Source organism: Homo sapiens, chromosome 10 (assembly GCF_000001405.40).
Source record: "Homo sapiens chromosome 10, GRCh38.p14 Primary Assembly".
Classification (NCBI taxonomy): domain Eukaryota; kingdom Metazoa; phylum Chordata; class Mammalia; order Primates; family Hominidae; genus Homo; species Homo sapiens.
This window is the reverse complement of record NC_000010.11, coordinates 89,247,319-89,272,096: the sequence shown is the minus strand read 5'-3', so window position 1 is coordinate 89,272,096 and position 24,778 is coordinate 89,247,319. Positions and strand designations below refer to the sequence as shown.

At 42.9% G+C, this 24,778-nt stretch overlaps 1 protein-coding gene across 25 annotated transcripts in view, besides 2 other annotated features; it reads left to right on the top strand.

Annotated features, from left to right (window-relative positions):
* Nucleotides 1-24,778, top strand: part of LIPA (lipase A, lysosomal acid type) — a 201,108-nt gene that overhangs the window by 142,583 nt on the left and 33,747 nt on the right. For 16 of the 25 annotated variants that reach the window (NM_001440819.1, NM_001440821.1, NM_001440824.1 and 13 more), the window contains one exon: nt 24,448-24,559. The exons of 1 other annotated variant lie outside the window; for it this stretch is intronic. In NM_001440819.1, coding sequence (NP_001427748.1) covers nt 24,449-24,559 — 111 coding nt within the window. In that variant the 5' untranslated portion in view covers nt 24,448. Of the gene's footprint in view, nt 1-16,776; nt 16,860-20,321; nt 21,487-24,447; nt 24,560-24,778 lie in introns of those variants that run through there. 8 more of the 25 variants (NM_000235.4, NM_001440837.1, NM_001440833.1 and 5 more) reach the window with 7 other exon arrangements.
* Nucleotides 20,236-20,295: an enhancer, noted in NCBI's record as "active region_3738". NCBI's record gives its function as "activates an Ori minimal core promoter by ATAC-STARR-seq in GM12878 lymphoblastoid cells {active_cell/tissue: GM12878}" and the evidence as "EXISTENCE:reporter gene assay evidence [ECO:0000049][PMID:35858748]".
* Nucleotides 22,964-23,053: an enhancer, noted in NCBI's record as "active region_3737". NCBI's record gives its function as "activates an Ori minimal core promoter by ATAC-STARR-seq in GM12878 lymphoblastoid cells {active_cell/tissue: GM12878}" and the evidence as "EXISTENCE:reporter gene assay evidence [ECO:0000049][PMID:35858748]".

Genomic DNA, 24,778 nt, shown 5'->3' with positions numbered 1-24,778 from the left:
AAGTTTTTTTTAAATTTTTTTTTTTTAAGACAGAGTCTCACTCTGTGTGCCCAGGCTGGAGTGCAGTGGTGCAATCTTGGCTCACTGCAGCCTCAGCCTACCAGGCACAAGTGATCCTCCCACTGCAGCCTCCTGAGTAGCTGAGACTACAGGTGCGTGACAATGTATCTGGTTAGTTTTTGTGGGTTTTTTTTTTTGTAGAGTTGGGGTTTTGATATGTTGTCCAGGCTGGTCTCAAACCCCTGAGGCTCAAATGATCTGCCGGCTTTGGCCTCCCAAACTGTTGGGATTACAAGCGTAAGCCACTGAGCCCAGCCTATGACTTCCTTCTTTTACCACCTGTTCCATATTACACTTGCCCTTGGCAAACACTGGTTCTTGTCATGACTCCTTATCTGGTGAGCTGTCCCATACCTTCATTCTTAAAGGGTCACTGCCATTAGCAGTCCTCACTGCATTGAATTGTTTTCATTTTAATATTGATTTCAGGATATGGAAATACAAAGAGGCACCCCAGAAGACCTCCTGCAAGCCACCATACTCCTCCTTACCCTCACTGTGTGGTAGCAACCCCATTTTCCCTTCATAGCCAGGATAAATCACCCATCAGAACAATAATCACCTTTTTTAAGCCTGCTGGTTAATTAGCATAAGGAGTACAAAGTGGCTGGGGACAGTTTTACTTTCCAGGTTAATGAAGCTACAAATCAATGTAAATCCATCACTCTGGTCATCTCTCCTTCTAGGAACAATGAACATCCAGGTGAACCGTTCAAAGCTCTTTCCACTGGGGGAATGTCCCATAACCACTGTCCTTCAGAATCATCCCTAAATGTGACAGGAGTACTGCATTGGCCATTTTTGGGTGATGCCAGTGTATTGTGCAGAACCATCTATAAAGTAGACCAAATAGTCTCTTCCTCAGTCAACTGGTCACATGGAACTCCCCATGAGAAGACAGATGAGAGAGAAGGGGCAATGTAGTATGAGTAGGGGTCACAGGAATCTTGCTCATGTGACTTGTGCCTTCAGGACCTACATAAGTCTAATTTCATTTACCACTTCCATGTGATGGAATACTGCTGTGCACACTCAACTTTAAGGTTTGATGGGTCAGATAACATCCAATTCATAGCTCAGGTCTTGGGCCATCGTTAAACATTCAGTCTCTACTAGAGCCCCAAAGTAAGCCAGCCACTGTTCATCAAAAGAATAGTTATCTGCAGGGGATGACATAGCTGTGCTCCAAGATCCTAAGGGTATCTTCTGTGATTTACCTGCTAAAGGTGCCATAGAGCCTCCCTATCTGTCACAGACACTTCGAGCACCATCAGATCTGTTGGGTCGTATAACATGAGTAGCAGAGCAGCTTGCCTTTAGCTTAGAGCTGTTGCATTCTCTTGTTCTGGGCCCTACTCAAAGCTGGCAGCCTTTATGGTTATTCAGGAAGTGGGCTAGAGGAGCAGGCCCAAATGAGGTATATGTTGACCTCCAAAGAGGTCCACTAGGATCAGTGCCTCTTTTTCAGTGGTAGAAGAAAACAGATACAGAAATGTATCCTTCATATTGGAAAGGATATATCAACATGCTCCAGAAAATGGACTTCTGGAAATTGCAATAAGGTGGCAGTCCTCTGAATTTATAAGGGGTTTATTTCCCACCCACTTGTGTCTTGCCAAGGTGTCTAGAATGCTTGCTATTTCCTGCTTACTTGGTCTAAATCAGCAAATACTGTCAGTATCACATTGGACCACATGATGTATTGTGAAATGGAGAAGTGATAAGTTTTGGCAGGTAAAAATCTTTGCAGTTCTGGAGAATTACATATCCCTAAAATGGGACAATGAAGGTGGATTTCTGGCCCTGACTGGTGGAAGCAAACTGCTTCAGCTGATCTTTACCAACACAAATAGACAATATAACATTTGTCAAATATATTGTGGCACACCACATGCTAGGGAATGTGTCAACTTTCTCCAAGGAAAAGACATTTAGAATAGTAGCTAATTTGGAGTGACCACCTGGTTAAGTTTTAATAATCCACAGCTATTCACCAAGGTCCATCTGCACTTTGCACAGACATAATTGAGCAATCCTTCAAAGAGGAAGAAATTGGAGTAAAGGTCACACAACTTATGTCTGACCAGAATACAAAGCTGTGTGTCTCCAAAGTCTAGGCCCACATACCCACAACTGAAGACCTTAGTGGCTCTGTAAACTCATCAGGTTGCTACCTACAAATCTGTACCTGCAGATTCATTACTAAAAATTAGTCTCACATTTTAGTAAAGAATAAAGTTTAAAAAAACCTCATCCTCCCCCAAATTTTTAATACAGCAAAGTATGGAGAGTCAGTTATAGGACATTAACCTTTGGTAAGGAAATTAATATTTTTGAAGCTACAATTGCATTGCTGTATTGCCAACGCATCGCTTTAAATTTCCCCAAAAGAGGAACATATAAGCTTCAGAAACTCCAGTCTCTCATGTACAAACTTTCATGTCATCTTAAAGTATTATATGGTTGACTTCAGAGAAAATTAATGATTATGTCATCAAAGTTTTATTTGTCGAATATGTTGAAGCCTTTGCACAATGTTGAAGAGAAGAATAAAATATTAATTAGAGCAAAAAAAAAATCCTTAAAGATATACCTACATTAGACCTAAAAGTTTTGTTTCTAGGACATGATCCTAGTGAAATTACCATGGATATAGAGCGTATCCTGGCTTAAAAAATAGAAATAAACTAAACTTCTTAAAGTATTATTATTATTTTTTTGACTCTGTCACCAGGCTGGAGTGCAGTGGTGAGATCTTGGCTCACTGCAACCTCTGCCTCCCGGGTTCAAGTGATTCTCCTGCCTCAGCCTCCCGAGTAGCTGGGACTACAGGCATGCGCCACCACGCCCAGCTAATTTTTTTTTGTATTTTTTAGTAGAGACGGGGTTTCACTGTGTTGGCCATGATGGTCTCGATCTTTTGACCTCAGGTGGTCCACCTGCCTCAGCCTCCCAAAGTGCTGGGATTAGAGGTGTGAACCACCGTGCCTGGCCCTAAGTATTTTTAAATAAAGTAAATCATTTAAAGTATTTTTATACTTTTTTTTTTTTGAGACAGAGTCTGTCTCTGTCGCCCAGACTGGAGTGCAGTGGTGCTATCTTGGCTCACTGCAAGCTCCGCCTCCCAGGTTCACACCATTCTCCTGCCTCAGCCTCCCGAGTAGCTGGGACTACAGGCGCCCGTCACCGCGCCCAGCTAACTTTTTGTATTTTTAGTAGAGACAGGGTTTCACTGTGTTAGTCAGGATGGTCTCAATCTCCTGGCCTCGTGATCCACCCGCCTCAGCATCCCAAAGTGCTGGGAAGCATTTTTAAATAAAGTACATCATTCAAATGATTTAAAGTAAATCATTGTAACTCCAGATGACAAAATAATACATGCAACCATTAAAAATGATTTCAAAAAATACTGAATGACATATTTAGATTTCTACTATTGAGTGGGAATAAAAGTAGATAACTAAATAATATATATAGCTTGAGCCTATTTTTGTGAAATTATGTATCAGAGGAAAACAAGTTTGAAAGTACATACCAAAATGGTAACTATATTGAACCTACATAGTAACTAGAATCCATTAATAATCAGCAAATAAATTGGATTTATAAAAAAAATTACTGTCAGGAAAAATATTTAAAAAACACAATCAACTAACATCTATTGAGTGCAAGGCACTATTCTAAGCACTTAACACATATTATCTTATCCAAAATTTGAGATGTCCCTAGACAATATTAATTCTATTTTACAGAAGAGAACTCTAACTCAAGAAGAAGTTAAAAATCTTACACTAGTTTGCACAGCCAGCAAATTGTAGATTTTGCCTTGAATGTGGGCAGCCTGACCCCTGAGTCTGCACTCCTAACTACAATCCTGGACCTCCTATTTTCCTCTTCCAAAGGAGAGTGGATAAAGATCATATGAAGGATATCTCCCATGTAGTATTGAGTATTGGGGCACACATTACATGAACAGGAGGGTTGAAGATAATTTTAAAATAGATAATTTGTGGGAGTAAACTTGATGTTCATAAACAAAGATATTTTAAGTTTCATACTCATAGCCACCCACAGCTTATTCCCCATTCCTTAACTCCCCTGAGTTCCACTTTCCATTATTCTCCACCCTGCCCTATAAAGTGGGAGGTTTACAGCAGAGACTATACTTGCCGGTTCCAGTGTCCTCCGGCTACTGGTTGGGTTTTGTTGACAGGCGGCACCTGCAGGAGATTGAAAGGATGGAGAAAGTGATGGTAGAGTAATTATTTCTTTCTTTTTTTTTTTTTTAAGTTTCTTTTTTTTTTTTTATTATACTTTAAGTTTTAGGGTACATGTGCACATTGTGCAGGTTAGTTACATATGTATACATGTGCCATGCTGGTGCGCTGCACCCACTAACTCGTCATCTAGCATTAGGTATATCTCCCAATGCTACCCCTCCCCCCTCCCCCCACCCCACCACAGTCCCCAGAGTGTGATATTCCCCTTCCTGTGACCATGTGATCTCATTGTTCAATTCCCACCTATGAGTGAGAATATGCGGTGTTTGGTTTTTTGTTCTTGCGATAGTTTACTGAGAATGATGGTTTCCAATTTCTTTGGTTCTCTCCCTGCTGGGACTGCCTGGAGCAGGCTGTGTCAGTCTACTAAGGAATAATTTTCCTTTCAGGGAAGCTTCTGTGAGACTTTCTCCTTCCATTTTCCAGTAACAATCTCATCTCTCTGAGCCTAAGGGTGGTTAACAGCTGAACTGCTACTACCTGGGGCTACTGCACTATCTTATGCTTCCCCTGCCCAACAACTGTTAAATAGTCTGTTTGCAAATCAGCTGTCTTTGAATCATTCCATTTTGAATGCCCTTGTTAGGATCCTGACATACAAGTTGTGATTCCTGTGTTCATAAAGCTGACACTGAGTATTTTGGAAACACATCACGTGAACAGGAGGGTTGAAGATAATATAAAAATAGAGAATGTGTGGGAGTAAACTTGATGGTTATAAACAAAGATATTTTATTTGACATTCATAGCCACCCACACCTTATTCCCCAGTCCTTATTTCTCTGTCCTGGATAGACTAGATACACTTCAGGAATATTTGTAAAGCATGTTGCATGGTAATCTTGATGCACTCTGCAGTTTTACAGATGCTGCTATCTCAGAATAATTACACAAAAGCAATTCTCTCTGCAGTTCTCAGGGCAATATACAGAGCTTCTGGCAAACACAGACATTAAGTCACAGAACACTTTGTAGACCATTCTTGCTCTGGAACAGATTTATGAGGTTACTTGGTAGACCCTCTTTAATTAGAAACTGGGAAATGGAAAATAGTCAGACATGAGTAAAACATTTTTTTATAAAGCCCCCTTATTTTCCACTCAAGATAACACAAAGTACAGATTGAGTATCCCTTATCCAAAATGCTTGGGACTAGAAGTGTTTCAGATTTTGGAATATTTGCATATACATAATATTTCAGGCACGGGATCCAAGTCTAAACATGAAATTCATATGTGTTTCATATACACCTTATACACATAGCCCGAAGGTAATTTTATATAATATTTTAGATCATTTTGTGCATAAAATAATGTTTGTGTACACTGAACCATCATCAGAAAGTAAAGGTGTCACTATCTCAGCCACACATGTGGATAGTCTGTGGTTGTTTGGCATCACCATCATTCTTGACTGAATTTATATGCTACCAATACACAGTCATTTTCTTACATTAATTCACACATAAGAATTTTACATAAAAAAAGACATATCATTAATACAGTAAGAAAGAATGTGTTTAGTGTAACTAAACAGCACCGTAGCATCACTGGAATATCTGCGTCAGCTGTTAAATGACAGCAACAACAAACAACAGCAGGCTTTCAGTCTCCACCTACGATGCTGTGTTTTGATTAAAAAGTTACTGTACAAGGTATTTTTTATGTGAGAATCTGAGGATAGAAAACATATATCATATGTAGAAAACATACATCACAGCTGAAGGGGGCTGGGAGGTTCTTTCTTAGGGACGCTGAATAAACTGTGTGTTGTACACATGCATTTTGATTGCAACTTGTCACATGAGGTCAGAATGGAATTTTTCATGTTGGCCCAAAAATGCTTTGAATCCCGGAGCATTTTGGATTTTGGATTTTTGGATAATGGATGCTCCACCTGTAATAATAACATAGCATCTTCTTTGGTTTTTAGTTCTCTCATGTTGAGGTCTCTCTCATTAACTAGTGAGCTATTTTACAAGTCTGAACACAGCAAAGATTGGAGAACTTGCAATTTAGGAGGAGCCAATGGAAAATGTTTGTCTATAGTCAAGCACCATGGACAACATCTTTTATGAGTTTCCAATCTTTCCCAGTGTTAGAAACTAGACTGCATATTATCAATACTCACTAGATATTAATTGACCCTATGAACAACATTTTAAAAATGTAAAAGGAAAGTAAAATAATTCCAATTCAAGTCCCAAAGAACAAAAGCATCTTTTCTGTATCACTTGGTTTATGTAGCTGAAAGCTACTTATACACTGTTCAAAAATGATTTTCCACAAAAGGATATGTTTACTGATTCTGATGGCAGCAGCGGCCCATCTGGAGTGGCCTCTGCGAAGACGCCAGCTGCACCAGGGGAGGTGTGACCAGGACTGTGTACTCCATGGAGATGGTGGGAGCCCTGTCCCCTTCCGAGTTGGCAGGTCAGGAGCCCCACCCTCCCAGGCACAGCTACAGCTGCCCAGCTGTAGCTGCAGACCTAGGCATCCCTGCAGTTTGGGGGCCCAGGACCCCATGGCCCCCACTCCCCAACCCCCTGCACCCCACTCCTTTCCCCTCACCCCTGCAAGCTCAGAAGTGCCTGCTCCTACTGCCTGGCCTCTCCCTGCTCCTGGCACCCACTCCAGAACAAAGTTGTGGCCAAGCCTAGGTGCTGCTGTGACCTGGTTAGGTGTGGATGTGCTCAGGGTGGCACCAACATGCCAGCCCCCTGCTGCCTGGGCCTCCTCCAGACTTTGGGGGCCAATGAGCATGGGAGGGAGGCTGAAGAGGATGGTGCTGAGGGTTGCTTAGCATGGGCCTGTGGGTTCCCCTCAGCACAAACAGCCCAGGGGCCGTGGATGACACGCAGATGGCAGCAGGAAGCAGATAGGCCCCTGGGCAGAAAGGGGCAGTCCCAGTGAAGCACCACCTTGAAGCCAGGGAGGGCCTGAAGCCTGGGGGCCAACCTATCAGTTCCAGGTGGTGTCCACAGCCCAGAGTGAGAACTTATGGTGCTTTTTCTGGGCCCACCCATGGCCGCCCATGGACCAATCAGCATACACTTCCTCCCTTATGAGCCCATAAAAACCCAGGACTCAGCCAGACTGGGACAGATGTCAGGATGACCTGCCTACGGATAGGAGCTACCCACTCTGGGTGTCCTCTCTGCTGAGGGCTGCACACTTGTCAGGACAACCTGCCTGTGAATAGAAGCTACCCACTCCAGGTTTCCTCCCTGCTGAGGGCTGCACACTTGGGATTACCTGCTTGTGGATAGGAGCTACCCACTCCAGGTCTGCTCTCCACTGAGCTGCACACTCATTGGGACAATCTGCTTGAAGATAGGAGCTACCCACTGGGGGTCTCCTCTCCTCTGAGGGCTGATCACTTGTTGGGACAACCTGCCTGTGGAAAGGAGCTACCCACTTTGGGTCTCCTGAGAGCTGTACTGTTGCTCAATAAAGGACTTCTTCACCTTGCTCACCCTCCAGTCGTCTGCATATTTCATTCTTCCTGGATGTGGGACAAGAACTCAGGACCCCCTGAATGGTGGGACTGAAAGAGCTGTAACACAAATAGGGCTGAAACATGCCCCTACCACCCCCCCTGCTTGCCATGTTGCCAGCAATGAGAAGGAGAGAAGGGCAGCAGAGAAGAGCAGAGGCCCTTCCAGGAGCCCAAACCTAGAGGCTCCCCAAGCCAGGGCTGTGCCACCCTCTTTGGGGCACTGTGGTTTCTGGCTTCTCCAAGTTTCTGGATGCCAGCACACTCCCCTTATCCAGACTTGGGTGTCCATAGGAGAAGCTGCTTGTGGTGCATCTGATCCAGCAGTAGGCTTGCACAGAACTGGCATCTGTACTGGTGCCTGCAGCTGCCCACCCCACCAGAGCAGCTGGCTTGCTGACTCTCCACAGTGGCTGGACCCCACACTCACTTGCTTATGCACCTCTCACCACTCTACACCTGGCTTGACCTTGGAGGCGTGGGATCTGGTTGGTTAGCATGAGCCAAGCACAGCCTGCCAGGCCAAGTGGGCAAAACAAGCCCAGCAGGCCTGAGTAAAGCTCAGGCAAAGGTGCCAACAGCCACACAGGCTTCTGGCTGGAAAAGTGACACCCTAAGGATCTTATGACAGTTCCATATGCTATCAGTACTTCTTTGAACTAAATCTATGCTTCTCAAGCAACTTTTGATTAATCATAACTTTCTGTGTAGGTTTTGTATTGCTTTTGCATGATATGTTTGGTAGGGTTAGAGGACAGGAGAGTTTTTACCATGGCAAATAGAAAGGATCACAGAGATGAAGTTGTTTTCCTGAACATAAAACCAACCAAAGATGCAAGCATATTAAAAGTGACATTTGTAGTTTTTGGTAGCAATCCACCAAAAGGTCTCTGGTAATTTCCCACAAAATGGAGCACTTAGTAAGTAAAGTCCAATACCACTAACACAACCTTCTCTTGTTTTTATAATCTTTCTAAAGTCAGAATAAGGTCACCATCCCTGCAGCAAAACCAAACCTGTTGTCATCCAGCAGAAATTCAGGATCTATTCATGGCCCAATAGGCTTGCAGTTCATTTAAGAAAGTTCACTGAGGGAGTCTTGGAGGCGGTGAAGGGCAATTAGGAGGAAGAGAAGTGAAAGTCAAAGCCAAACTGGCCCTGATACCCTATATCTATTTTGTATGTGAAGAGAAGTTCTAGGAAGAAAGAGGTAAGGAATTCATGAAGACTTGATGGAATCTCTAGTTGCCTCTCCCTTTTATTCTGCCTCAGCTGCCAACAGCAACATGTTAGTATGTTTTAAAGTAACTCCAACAACTGCACATGTAATTGGGCTTGGCAGTTTTTACTGTTCCCTTCACAAAAAGTGATTGTCAACTGAGAGGAATCCTAGACAAGAGTCCACTGAGATTTCTGAGGAAATGTGAGGAAAGAGTTTGGAATTGTTTTGATGAAATTTACTACAAATATGAAAAATACGTTTAATATATAGAATTAGAATCTTGTAAAGAGTGCTTCTCAAACATTCCTCATGTGAGTCACCCTGCGATCTGATAAATTTGCACTCTGATTTAGTAGTTTGGAGGTGAGGCCGGAATTTTGGCATTTCTTACATACTCCCAGATGATCTCAAGGTGCTGGGCCAGGGACCATTCTTTGCATAGCAAGGTTGTAAAAAGGCTGGGATACTCTGATGATATCTGCAGAATGAAGATATAAAAATGTCAAGGTTTGCTTAGCAAAGCTGTGATTCAGACAGGAAGAAAGATACTGAGTTTCCATGACCCTTTGCTCATTGTGCTGTCATTTAGGAGCCTTAGGCTGTAGGTACAGAGAGACAAAGAAAAGAGAGACTCCAACAAGTGCTGAATGGAGAATGCAGAGGCAAAGAGAACAGCTTGTGAGCAGACTCCAGGGATGACTTGAAGCCACTGAGGGAAGCCTTACTAGATACTCAATGCTGTTTAATTCATGCCTCATTGCCTGCATAGTAGCTTGCCACTGTCAGATGGTATATGCTGATTTTTTTTTTTGGAACGTTCAGTCCATTTGTGTGTGCTAAATGAGAGAGCTAGCAATCGTATGCTTTCCCATAGGGAATACCAGGAGTTTACAAGTCCTCAGCACTAGTCAGGTAACAATAAAAATCTTGTTTTCTATTATCTCATCTTTCCCTGATTCTAGCTTGAAGAAGCCAGCAGTAAGCATTGGGTAGGTGAGTAAGGAAAGACCTGGGAAAAGGGAAAAAAACAGATCACATACCCCTTCCCATGGCTGGACTTCATCTTAAGCAGGCCTGAAGTAAAAGAGGGAGAGAAACTTTTAATTGAAAAGCGAGATTGGAATTGGATTGGTTACGGCAAAAAAATCAACCGGGCTGTTCAGGGATAGGGAGGGGAGCTCAGGAATAGCACATTGCAGGGCAGCAATAGAGAGACAGAATTTCTTAATGAATCTGAGCAAGTTCAGCCCATTCAATATAAACTAGTGTTAGATGCACAGGTCTGAACAAGGAAGAATAAGAATAAACCACAGAAGGTACAGAATGAGACTAGAGTTCTATTCTCCTCTGCACTGAGAGGGGGCTGGACTTGACCTATGCCAATGAGTTTTCCCACATTTCTAAGACATTTATTTCATCTTGTAATCAAGAGCCAGCATTCTCTCTGTTTTTCAAGAGAAGCCAGGATTATATATTTTTATGTGAGCTCTTCTGATTTTTTAAATTTTAATTTTAATTAATTAATTTATTTTTTTGAGACAGAGTCTCGCTCTGTCACCCCGGCTGGAGTGCAATGGCACGATCTGGGCTCACTGCAACCTCCTCCTCCCGGGTTCAAGCGATTCTCCTGCCTCAGCCTCCCAAGTAGCTGGGATTACAGGCGTCCGCCATCAAACCCAGCTAATTTTTGCATTTTTAGTAGACATGGAGTTTTGCCATGTTGGCCAGTCTGGTCTTGAGCTCTTCTGATTTTTAACTGTTGACTACTAATTCAAATTTCTAGAACACCCAGAGGGTCCAGCTATTTTGGCAAAGGATGCATATCTGAGGGCCTCTGGCTATGACTTCTGGACTAGGCATCACATCCAATTACTCACATTTATGTAGGAGGGCACTGAAAGCTTGGACTTAGTCATTTCTGTGTCCTCAGCTCCAGGCTAGTTCTTTAGTAGGTGTCCATACATGTCGTTAATAGGAATCAAAGGCAACTATGGGCTGGAAATTAAAGACCCTTAGACAATAATTTCTAGAAATTCTTCTGGTGCTGGAATGTGTCACTACTAGCTACCTTTCACCTTTTGTGATGAAACTGACTGAGAAGCCCAGCATAGGAAAAGGAAGAGGAACCCTTGCTCACCATCGCGGGTCAAAGCCTGGAGCGTCCTGGATATCTGAACTCCATCTTCAAGTGCATGCTAGTAAACCTTTTATCAGCGCTTCCAACCGATACAAAACAGAATGGGACATGTTTAAATTGCCTCCCTTTGGGAGGCAGAGCAGTCTGCCCTGTATGTGCTCTGTAAAGCCTCCTTCCCTTTACTGAGCACACGGAGATGGAGGGCCTTGAACTGTTAAGCACTGTAATGTGTGTGGAGGTGGGGAAAACACAGCCAAAGGCCTGTGAGACTCTGAGGCCCCATGTACCAGAATGTGTCGGCACCTCCAAGTAGGAGGCCCAAGCGTGCATAGGCCCAGACACGGTCTTCCTGGGGAACTGCTGCCCCCTGCTGGCAATGAAGGGTGAGACAACATTCTGTTCTAATCAGCTTAGCCAATCTTCTCCACAGCTACCCAACCTCTCATCCATAAGCCAGGTGAGTTGGGCCTTCCTGTTTTGAGCCTCAGGTTCCCCAGCTTCTCGCTTCCTCCACTATGCACTGAGGGCAGGAGCCAGGTATCCTTGTTCAGCTCGGAATCTGCAACCCTTAGGAGAGTGGCCTATCACACAAAGAACTGCTGAATGAAAATGGGTTAAATTCTCGTTAGTGAAGAAGAGCTGGATCTTTGGCATTAGGCTACTTGAGTTTAAATATCATCTTCATGGCTTGAGTCTCTATATCATCATCTGAAGAAACGGAAAACACCTCTGTTGGGTGGTTACTGATTCAACACGATAATGAATGTTAAGTATTAGGATTATATCTGTCATATAGCAAGGGTTCAATAAATAGTAACTATTAGTATTTTTTTAAATAGGCTTATCGAAGTATGACAGATGAAGATTAAACTGCACATATTTAAATTGTACATTTTGATGAGTTTTCACATGTGTATATACCTGTGAAACCATCACTACAGTGAAGATAACAAATATATTTATTCCCTCCAAGTTTCCCCATGCCTCTCTGTCATCCAGCCTCCTCTCCTCCCCAAAGAAAAATGTCCCCTCTCCAGGAAACCACTAATTTTCTGTGACTGTAGACTAATTTACAATTTCTATATTTTTATGAAAATGAAATGAGACATGTACTGTTTTTGTTTGTCCTCTTTCTCTCAGAATAATTATTTTAAGAGTCATTCATGTTGCTGTGTGCATCAGAAGATCATTATTCTTTTATTGCAGAGTAATATTCCATTGTATAGATACACCACAATTTGTTTATCCATTTACCTGTTGATGGGCATTTGTGTTGTTTCCAGTTTATGGCTATTACAAATAAAACTGCTATGATCATTTGTGGACAAACACTTTCATTTCTCTTGAGTAAATACTTAAGAGTAGAATAGCTGGGCCATATGGTAGATATACTTATAATCTTTTATCTAAAGTGATTGTACCAGTTTACATTCCCATCAGCGATGAAAGAGTTTCCCAGCTGCTTCACATCCTTGCCAACACTTTTTAATTTTAGCCATCCTGGTGGGTAGAATAGTGTTATCTCATTGTGGTTTTCATTTGCATTTTCCTAATGATTAATGGTGTTGAACATCTTTTCACATGTTTATTCATCATCCATATATCTTCTTTAGTGAAATGTCTGTCCAAATATTTTGCTCATTTTTGATCGGGTTTTTAGTTTTTAAGGAGCAGACCAAATCATTTTATAAAGTTAAAAAAACTTACTGAGATACAATCTGCATACCATTCAATTCACCATTTAAAGGGAACAATGGCATTCAGTATATTTGCAGAGCTGTGCAACTATCATTGCAATTAATTTTAGAACATTTTCATCATCCTAACTTCCTCTTCTTCCCCATCCTTTAGCCATCAACCCACCATCATCCCTAGGCAACTACTAATCTACTTGCTGTCTGCAGAGATTTGCCTATTCTGGACATTTCATGCAAGTGGAAGGGTCTTTTTTGAGTGGCTTTTTAAATTTGGCATAATGTTTTCAAGATTCATCCATGTTGTAGTTAGTATCAGTGCTTCATTTTTAAATTATAGAAGAATATTCCATTGTATGAACATATCAAATTTTATTTATTCATGTCTTCATCAGTTGATGAACATATGGTTGTTTCCACTTTTTGGCTATATTGAGTGATGCTCTTATGAACATTCATGTACAAGTTTTTATGTAAACATCAGTTCTTATTTCTACTGGGTATATACTTGAAAGTGCAGTTGATGGGTCATATGATAACTCTATGTTTACCTTTTTGAGGAACTTCCAGACAGACTGTTTTCCAAAGTGGCCACACCATTTCACATTTCCAGCAGCAGTGTGCAAGGGTTCACATTTCTCCACATCCTCATCAACACTTGTTATTACCTGTATTTTTTATTATAGCTATCCTAGTGGGTATGAAGTGGTATCTCATCATGGTTATAAAACGTCTTTTTTTTAGAAAAAAAAGTTATTTTACTTTGAAGGGGTCCAATTTGTTGATATTTTTTCTTTTATAGGTTGTGCTTTTTGTGTTGTATTTAAACAATCTTTGACAAAACTCAAATTTCTTAAGATTTTCTCCAATTTTTTTCCAGGAACTCCTATATTTTTAACTTTCAAATGTATGTGTATGGTCCATTTTGAGTTAATTTTTCTATGACTTAAGGGTCTAGGTTCATTGTTTTGCATATAGCTATTCAAGTGTTCTAGCACCATTGTTAAAAAGATTATTCTTTCCCCATTGAATTGTCATGGAACCTTGGTAAAAATCAATTGGGGGTCTACTTCCCAGTATTCAGTATTCTTATTCTTATTCAGTATTCTTATTTTTAAAAGGCAGCCTTAACTTAGGGCTGATCTTGCTCCAATACTGAGACAATAGTCTTATGAATCTTTTATTGAGTGCCTTCTGTGTTACAATGTTTTCCCACTCTGGCTGGTTGTAACTTAAACCATTCCAAGTTTTGTGTGAGCCTTGGGGATCTTACCGTTTGCAGGTGGTTCTTTCCACTAAACTATGGTCTAGCATAGTTTCTTCACATGCAAACTGTTAGTTAAAGACTTGAAGGAACCCATCTGCAGCTCGCCACAGCCTCTCTCTCTCTTCAGCTCTCTCTGCTCCAGCATTCTGCCCTGCAACTCTGCTGCCTTAAGAGAATTCCTACTGCCAGATGAGAATGCTTTTTTAATTCTCATTTTTCTCCTCTATTTAGATAAACTGCTGGATTTTGCTTGGATTTGGCCTCCCTAAACTACAGCCTGGAAAATCTGTCCAGGCAATTATCTGAGGCATTGCAGGGATCATTTCATTTGTTTTTCTTTTCTCAAGGATTGCTCTTTCTTTTGCACTATTTGTTGTCCAATGTCTGAAATTATCGTTTCATACTTTTTCCAACTTAGCTGTTTAAAGTAGGAGAGTAAACCAGGTCATTGTTACTCTATCTTTGCTGGAAGCAGAACTGCTATTAGTATTGTTTCTGTCTTTATTTCACCAGTCTGGCTTATGATATAAAGTGACCATCCCAAACACACATGTTCATATATGCACACACACACACACACCACTACTACCTCCTGTTTTCTATAAAACTTTCTTTTTATAGTTGTGAAAGTTGTCAAAATCAAAATGAAGTCCTTTATATTAAAGTCCTGGCAAATGGACCCATGGAAGGCCATAAAGGGAGTATTCTCACACATATGCCTGAAATTCAGAACTATCACAAAAGACTGCCAAAAATGCAGTCTTGCACAGAAAATACTTCTGCAAGGATGTCTATTCAGCAACTGTCAGTCCTTGGACCAATGCCACCCTTGTTATTGATCCTCGTAGCCAAGGACAATTGATTCAAAACAACTTATTTATTCTTTCTCATTTTGCCTTTAAAAACTTCCCCTTGTCTTAACTTCTTTAAATATGCACATAGTATAATATGGCACACTTATTCACATTGCAAACCTGAATAAATATCATTTTCTTATGTAGAGTCTCCTTTTCTCTCTTTATTAAGTTTAACTTGGAAAAGGTATAGGTCATCCACCAGTCACTGTGGCTCACAATGGCCCAAAGCAGGAAGTAGGAGAAATCTTCCCCTACCTGAGTGAAGGAACCTCGTGGTTATATTTTCATTCATTCACTCACGGATGACAACCTGGATTTAGTTTGCCTGGGTTGCATTTTGGGCTACATCACTTTTTACTTTTGTGAAATTGTGCTAAGCCCTCTACATACAGTGTCTCACTTAATCCTCAAGACTACCTTCATACACCCATTTTACAAGTGAAGACGCTGAGGCTTAGAAAGGGTAACTATATTGCCCAATGTCTGACACACAGAAATGCTGCTCAATCTGTTGCTCGTTTCTCAGTACTCACTTCACTTAAGCTGTCATTGGCACTTGCCTGGGCTGATCATTTCCTCTTTCATGAAATTTCTTTCTTCAGTTCATGTCAAGTACAACACACTCATTTCTCCTCCAACCTCATTGTCTTCTCAGCTTTTATATCTTCTGAATCTCTACGTGTGTTCTTTGCTACTTATGCTTACTTTATAGGGGATCTCCTCCAGCCTCATGTCTTTAAATACTGTTTCTAATCTGATTAGTCACAAATCATATCTCTAGCCTGGAGCTTGAATACATCTATATATCCTAGTCCCTACTCAACATCTCCATGTGGATGTTTTTCCAATCTTCTCCTTTTTGTTCCAAATCCTTTCCCTGTCCTACCTCTGCTCTGCTCTGTCTTGTGGAGGGTGGAGTGGTCTGACCTCTGCAGGCTCTTGTGTCAGCCACCTTTAGCCTGCCTAGGATCCTCAGAAGGGACTTGTGGAAGACTGAAGGAAGAAGGAAGAAAGAAGGGGAGGTCCAGCTATTTCTAGCTCCTCTCTTTCTTGGCCATGAGTAGTGTCTCTGACAGAGACTGTTGCTCAACTTCTGGTCTATGGTATGACACTTCCTTCATCCAATAATGCCCCAGCTCTTTCCACTGTTGCTAATAATTTCTGTGGTGCCACCCAAACCCTGTTTGTCTTCTCAGCAATGTCATTACCTGTGTAACCATGTCCTCTGTTTGCAATGCCTAGAGTGGCTTCTATTTCCTGACATGGCCTGAGTTGACACAGGTCTCTAAAAGGCATCTCAAAACCAACACATCTAGAACAAACTCCTAATTTCCCTCTCAAGTTGTTCTTCCTGGTAGTTTGTCCATTCAAATTCATGGCAACTCCATTAGTGCCATCCTTGATGCTACTGTCCCTCTCATACCTGTATTCAATCCACCAGCAAGTCCTATTGGTTCAACTTTATAAACATACCTAGAGCTGCCTATTTTTCTCCACTTTCACTGCTATCACCATCCTGGTCCAAGTCATTATTAACTCTCACTTGGACTATTGTGGTAGCCTTCTGATATGGTTTGGCTGTGTCCCCACCCAAATCATTATCTTGAATTGTAGTTCCCATAATGCCCACATGTTGTGGGAGGGACCCAGTGGGAGATAATTAAATCATGGGGGGCAGTTTTCCCCATACCTTTCTTGTGGTAGTGACTAGGTCTCATGAGATCTGATGGGTTTATAAGGGGAAACCCCTTTCACTTGGTTCTCATATCCTCTCATGTCTGCTGCCATGTAAGACGTGCCTTTTGCCTTCTGCCATGATTGTGAGGCCTCCCTAGCCACGTGGAACTGTGAGTCAATTAAACCTCTTTCCTTTACAAATTACCTAGTTTTGGGTATGTCTTTATTAGCAGCATAAGAACTGACACAGTAAATTGGTACCAGTAGAATGGGGTGCTATTGTAAAGATACCCAAAAATGTGGAAGTGGCTTTGGAACTGGGTAACAGGCAGAGGTTGGAACAGTTTGGAGGGCTCAGAAGAAGTCAGGAAGACGTGGGAAAGTTTGGAACTTCTTAGAGAACTGTTGAATGGCTTTGACCAAAATGCTGATAATGATATGGACAATGAAATCCAGGCTGAGGTGGTCTCAGATGGAGATGAGAAACTTGTTGTGAACTGTAGTAAAGGTGACTCTTGCTATGTTTTAGCAAAGATACTGGGGGCATTTTGTCCCTGCCCTAGAGATTTGTGAAACTTTGAACTTGAGGGAGATGCTTTAGGGTATCTGGGGGAAGAAATTTCTAAGCAGTAAAACATTGAAATGGTGACTTGGGTGCTGTTAAAAGAATTCAGTTTTAAAAGGGAAACAAAACATAAAAGTTCAGAAAATTTGCAGTCTGACAATACGATAGAAAAGAAAAACCCATTTTCTGAGCAGAAATTCAAGCTGGCTGCAGAAATTTGCATAAGTAATGAGGAGCCAAATGTTAATTACCAAGACAATGGGGAAAATGTCTGACAGGGCATGTCAGAGACCTTTGAGGCAGCCCCTCCCATCACAGGCCCAGAGGCCTAGGAGGAAAAAATACTTTTGTGGGCTGGCTCAGGTCCTCCCTGCTGTGTGCAGCCTAGGGACTTGTGTCCCAGCCTGTGTCCCAGTCACTCTAGCCATGGCAAAAAGGGGTTAAAGTACAGCTCAGGCCATGGCTTCACAGGGTACAGTCCCTAAGCCTTGGCAGTTTCCATGTGGTGTTGAGCCTGTGGGTGCACAGAAGTCAAGAATTGAGGTTTGGGAACCTCCACCTGTATTTCAGAGGATGTGTGGAAAAGCCTGAATGTCCAGGCAGAAGTTTGCTGCAGGGGTGGGGCCCTCAAGGAGAGCCTGGGCTAGGTCAGTGCAGAAGGGAAATGTGGGATTGGAGGCCTCACACAGAGTCCCCAATGGGGCACTGCCTAGTGCAGCTGTGAGAAGAGAGCCACTGTCCTCCAGACCCCAGAATGGTAGATCCACCGATAGCTTGCACTGTGCACCTGGGAAAGCTACAGACACTCAACACCAGCCTGTGAAAGGAGCCAGGAGGAAGGGTCCCCCTGCAAAGCCACAGGGGCAGAGCTGCCCAAGACCATGGGAACCCACCTCCTGCATCAGTGTGACCTGGATGTGAGACATGGAGTCAAAGGAGATCATTTTGGAGCTTTAAGAAATGACTGCCTTGATGGATCTGGACTTGCATGCGGCTTTTAGCTCCTTCATTTTGGCCAGTTTCTCCCATTTGAAACAGGTGTATTTATCCAATGCCTGTACCCCCATTGTATCTAAGAAGCAACTAACTTGCTTTTGATTTTACCAGCTAATAGGTGGAAGGGACTTGCCTTGTCTCAGGTGAGACTTTGGACTATGGACTTTTGAGTTAATGCTGAAATGAGTTAAGACTTTGGGGGACTACTGGGAAGGCATGATTGGTTTTGAAATGTGAGGACATGAGATTTGGGAGTGGCCAAGGGCAGAATGATATGGTTTGGCTGTGTCCCCACCCAAATCTCATCTTGAATTATAGCTCCTGTAATTCCCACATGTTGTGGGAGGGACCCGGTGGGAGATAACTGAATCATGGGGGCAGTCTAGCCCATACTGTTCTTGTGGTGGTAAATAAGTCTCACAAGGTCTGATGGTTTTATAAGAGGAAAATCCTTTTACTTGGTTCTTTCTCTCACATGTGCCGCCATGTAAGACAAGCCTTTTGCCTTCTGCCATGATTGTGAGGCCTCCCCAGTCCTGTGAAACTGTGAGTCAGTTAAACCTTTTTCCTTCATAAATTACCCAGTCTTGGGTATGTCTTTATTAGCAGCATGAGAACAGACTAATACACCTTCTAATTAGTCTCCCTGCTTCTGTAGTTCAGAATGATCTTTCTAAACTAGATTATGCTGCCCTTCTATTGAAAATATTACACTGGCTTCTCATCTTACTCAGAAGACACGGTAAGATCTTGACAAGTGGCTCCCAAGGCACCAGACTTCTAGGACTTCATGTTCTATTACTTTCTACTATGTACATTCTGTTTTAGCCTCAAAGACCTCACCACTCTGGCTAGGACCCACCAGGAATATTCCTACCACAGGGCCTTTGTACCTGCTATTTTCACCCAGAATGTGCTTTCTCCAGTATCTAAGGCTGTTAACTACCTCCTTGCCTGTGCTCAGGTGTCACTTCATAAGAGTCCTTTCCTGATTACCATATACATATCATCCTCCTTATCCCTGTTTTTTTTTTTTTTTGGGGGATGGAGTCTCACTCTGTTGTCCATGCTGGAGTGCAGTGGCATGATCTCCGCTCACTGCAACCTCCACCTACCTGGTTCAAGCCATTTTCCTGCCTCAGCCTCCCAAGGAGCTGGGATTAGAGGCACACACCACCACACCCGCTAATTTTGTATTTTTAGTAGAGATGGGGTTTCACCAAGTTGGCCAGGCTGGTCCTGAACTCCTGTCCTCAGGTGATCCGCCCTCCTCAGCTTCCCAAACTGCTGGGATTACAGGCGTGAGCCACTGTGCCCAGCCCCTTGTTGTTTGTTGTTGTTGTTGTTTGTTTGTTTTTGTTGTTATTTATAGCACTTATCACCACCTCATGTATTATATAGTTATTCATGATGTGTCTCTTCCCATCAGAATATATACAAGAGAACAGGAACCTTGTTTGGTTGGTTTCTATACCTCCACTGTCTTACTAATGCCTGGCATTTAGTAGGTGCTCAATAAAATCTTTGTTTTAGAAAATGATTAATAAATAATATGTACATATTGAATATTGTTTCCTCTTTTAACAAATCTTTAATAATAATAAAAAATTTAAAGCAGCAAGATTGCTTTGCATCAGGCACAATGATAAGCGCTTTAAATGGAGCCCATGATTCACTTTCATTTATAGAGCCCACATGCTCTCTGTCAGGCGCAGAAGGTGCCAGCCCTGCAGGAGCTTCGGGGGCGGAGCAGAAGGCCGCCTAAAACAGCCTTTGCTAAGAGAGCATGCGTAGGCGACGCGCTGGTAGAGCTGTGGACCTGCCAGCCTGCGAGGCGGAGGACGGGCTCCATCTCTTAGAAACGCCTACGGCGCATGCTCTATGGGGTCAACTGGGGGGCTGGCAAGCGGCAGCGCTGGTCTGGGGCGGAGTCTCCGAGGCACTTCCCGGTGGCTGGCTGCTCTGATTGGCTGAACAAATAGTCCGAGGGTGGTGGGCATCCGCCCTCCCGACAAGGCAGACCAGGCCCCCTGCAGGTCCCCTATCCGCACCCCGGCCCCTGAGAGCTGGCACTGCGACTCGAGACAGCGGCCCGGCAGGACAGCTCCAGGTGAGAGTGCCGGCGCCGCGGCGCTGCCAGGTGCGGGTGCGGCGTGGAAGCTGGTGCCTTCAGCAAGGGGAGGGTCGCGCCCCGAGGCTCTGCCGGCCGGCAAGACCCTCTGCGTTTGGACCCAGCGAGTCTTGCCTGGGGTGCCTGCGGGTGCTTTTTCTGCGGGCGTTGGCTCAAGGCATCTGCCAATCAACCAGGGCAACTTCAGAGAGCAACTTCAGAGAGAAGCCCACTCTCTTCCCTGGGCGCTGTCCACTTTCCTGGACAGGCGCGGTCTCCGGTCAGTGAAGCTGCCCAGTGCTCCTGGACCGCGAGGACAGCAGGGATGTCTGATTCCTCTCTCTGCATCCTCGTGCTCTCCCCTTAGCTCCTCCAGGCATCCCATCCTACCTCTCTTGTTAGCCAACGGCGTGGTCGAAAGCAGACTTGGGCATCAATCCTGGTTAAAGTCCCAGCGATACTGCTTTTTAAACAGCTGACACTTTGCTTCCAGTACTTCAGCTGGGTGAACCTCAGATTCCTGAAAAATGGAATTAATGGTACTGCCATAGGGTCGGTGGAGGAGTAATTGACAGTAGATCAGAAGCGCTGCCTGCGGTGGCTGGCGCCTCGCAAGAGCTTAAATGGGAGTCGTAATAATTGTTGTTATTAGAAAGTTAAATAGCATGCTGCGTTGGGGCCTTTTCTTCTGCCACTGAACTGTTGGACTGCTCTTATCTTTTTTCAGAATCTGTACTATGCATCTAATATATACGTGGCACTTTGCTTGGTCCTGGGGGTACAAAGCTGAGTCAGATTGTTACAAAGTCTAAATAACTGAGATAAAGGTGTTAATACAGCCCAGAAAAGCACACTTAATTCAGCCTGGAAGGTTTTTTTTCCCCCCTCCTTCGAGATTTTCAGAGTATCTCCTTCTTAGTAAGAATTGCTTGGCTTAGTATGTTGAGAAAAACATACTAAGTATGTAGTGTTGTGTTGGAAGGAAAACTTAACTGGGTGAGATTTTCAGCTGAGTAGCTTTAGCTGTTACTCTCATGGACCTTCCTCTGGGCGGTTGATACAGGTTCTGTAGGAAAACCGCTGAATGAAAGCAGCTCCTGCAGATGCTATTCTGTTTTCAATTGTGGTAATTCCTTTAATTTTTTCCCTTTCAATTTACTCCTTATTCTCTAGTAATAATGGACTTTTGGGAGGTTGCATTTATGATAAAAAATAGCCTGGGGCTGTACAATCCTTCCTATCATGAAGAAGTACAAAGTTGTAAGTAGAAGCAGTGGCCTTGCTTTGCCAATGCACACTGAAGGGGATAACGTTTGCTCCTGTTCAGAGTTCACGGTCGGGCGCGGTGGCTCACGCCTGTAATCCTAGCACTTTTGGAGGCCGAGGCCGGCGGATCACGAGGTCAGGAGATCGAGACCATCCTGGCTAACACGGTGAAACCCTGTTTCTACTAAAAATACAAAAACAAAATTAGCCAGGCGTGGTGGTGGGCGCCTGTAGTCCCAGCTACTTGGGAGGCTGAGGCGGGAGAATGGCCTGAACCCAGGAGGTGGAGCTTGCAGTGAGCCAAGATCTCGCCACTGTACTCCAGCCTGGGGGACAGAGCAAGACTGTCTCAAAAAAAAAAAAGAAAGAAAAGAAAAGAAAAAGAAAAAGAAAAAAGAAAAAAGAAAAGAATTTCAGAGTTCACTACTTCTTGGAAAAAAATAATCCCAGGAGGAATTCCATCAACAGAAGGGAGTCAGTTCACTTTTGCAATCTCCTGAGAATCAATTTCTTAAGACTTGTGGAATATTCAGTTTAAACACAAAACTAAAAACAAACAGCTGTATTGGAGTATTATTGACATACAATAGCATGGCATATTTCAATTGTACAATTGTATAAGTTTTTGCATGTGTACACACCTGTGAAACCATCAGTACATTCAATATTATGAACCTGTACATCACCTCCAAAATATTATTTGTGCATACCCCTTTGTGATCCTTTCTTACTGCCCCTTCTCTCCAGGAAACCACTGATCTGCTTTCTGTGAATATAGATTAGACTGCATTTTGTGGAGTTTTATATGAATGGGATCAGACAGTACTTTTTTTTTTCCTTATTTTGATCTGGCTTCTTTTGGCATAATTATTTTGAGATTAATCTATATTTTTTTGTGTTCCTTCCCTTTTATAGCTGAGTAGTAGGTATATACCATAATTTATCCAATCATCCATTTAAAGCATTTGGGTTTTTCCAGTTTTTGTCTATTACACCCAAAGCTGTTATAAACATTTATGTACAAGTCTTTGTATGGGCATACATGCCTGCATCTTTTTAAGTGATTCTATTTATTTTTTAAAAATGTAGAAGTTCTGGGATCTAGTCCTAGGTTTTTCTCTGACCACTTGCGTGATCTTAGGAGAGGCATTTAACTTTGCCTTCAGCATCCTCAAGGTCTTTGCTGTGATTTTGAGTCATCACTGCCAGAAACCAAGATGGTCTTTGTTGATTTGATGGTTAGAGAATTTCAGAAGGAGAGAGACGGGTCAAATTTTTCCTTTCTGTTTCTTTTGAAAGCTCTATTTTCTTTCATTTCACTTTTTTCCCATGAATGACAAATTTAAATGCTGACGTATAATTTGGGGCAAGAACAGAAGTGGTTAGATAAGTAGGAGGAAGAGCTAATAGTGGTTAGATAAGTAGGAGGAAGAGCTAATAGTGGCTGAACTTAAACATGTCTAAATCATAGGTGGAAGGCAAGAGGTGGGAAATAAGCAAGCTCAGAAATTTTGTGTCTCTTTCTTTTTCTCAAACTATCCTCTTCTAAGTCTTGCCTTTTGTTATTTCTCCATGACCAATTTGTTTTTAACTTTGGGGTTAGGAGGTGAATGGGTATGCTGGACTCCAAAGGTCATATATCAACTGGAGGTGGTGGGTGGGAGGTTTCTTAGTTAAAAGTAATTCCTTTGGGCCGGGCGCGGTGGCTCACGCCTGTCATCCCAGCACTTTGGGAGGCCGAGGCGTGATCACGAGGTTAGGAGATCGAGACCATCCTGGCTAACACAGTGAAACCCCGTCTCTACTAAAAAAAAAAAAATACAAAAAAATTTGCCGGGCGTGGTGGCGGGCGCCTGTAGTCCCAGCTACCTGGGAGTCTGAGGCAGGAGAATGGCCTGAACCTGGGAGGCGGAGCTTGCAGTGAGCCAAGATTGCGCCACTGCACTCCAGCCTGGGCGACAGAGCGAGACTCAGCCTCAAAATAAATAAATAAATAAATAAATAAATAAATAAATAAATAAATAAATATAAAATAATAATAATAATAATTCCTTTGGGAGGCGGAGGCGGGCAGGTCACGAAGTCATCTGAGACCAGCCTTGCCAATATAGTGAAACCCTGTCTCTACTAAAAATACAAAAATTAGCCGGGCATGGTGGCCTGCACCTGTAGTCCCAGCTACTCTGGAGGCTGAGGCAGGAGAACCGCTTGAACCTGGGAGGCGGAGGTTGTGGTGAGCCGAGATTGTGCCACTGCACTCCAGCCTGGGCAACAGAGCGAGACTCCGAAAAAAAAAAAAAATTCCTGGGCAGGCGCGGTGGCTCACGCCTGTAATCCCAGCACTTTGAGAGGCCGAGGTGGGCGAATCACGAAGCCAGGAGTTCGAGACCAGCCTAGCCAATATGGTGAAAGCCCATCGCTACAAAAATACAAAAATTAGCCAGGCGTGGTGGTGCGTGCCTGTTGTCCCAGCTACTTGGGAGGCTGAGGCAGAAGAATTGCTTGAACCAGGAGGCAGAGGTTGCAGTGAGCTGAGATTGCACCACTGCACTCCAGCCTGGGTGACAGAGCAAGACTCCATCTCAACATAAATAAATAAATAAATAAATAAATAAATAAATAAAATAAAAATAAATAAATAAAATTTAAAAATTCCTTATTCTCCTTTCAGATATGGCTGGAGTCATTTGTTTCATATTTTCCTTTCACCTTTTACTTGCCCTAAATCTGGTTCAGAACTTTTTGTGGGAGCATTAAGTTACCAGAATATTTTTGTGTAGTAAAATTCAAGCAAATAATAATAGACTGTTTTATTATACAGAATGAAAATGCGGTTCTTGGGGTTGGTGGTCTGTTTGGTTCTCTGGACCCTGCATTCTGAGGGGTCTGGAGGGAAACTGACAGCTGTGGATCCTGAAACAAACATGAATGTGGTAAGTTTCTCAAAGTTATGTACTTTTAAAATGCATCTATTTCCCCGATCCAGTTATGTGAGCTACATGAAGCCATACCCATACATTCATCTCTTTATAACTCCTTTGCTTTTCAATTTCTCTGAATTTTTTTTTTTTTTTTTTTTTTTTTTTTTTTTGAGGCAGAGTCTTACTCTGTCACCTGCCCGCCCAGGCTGGAGTGCAGTGGTGTGATCTCGG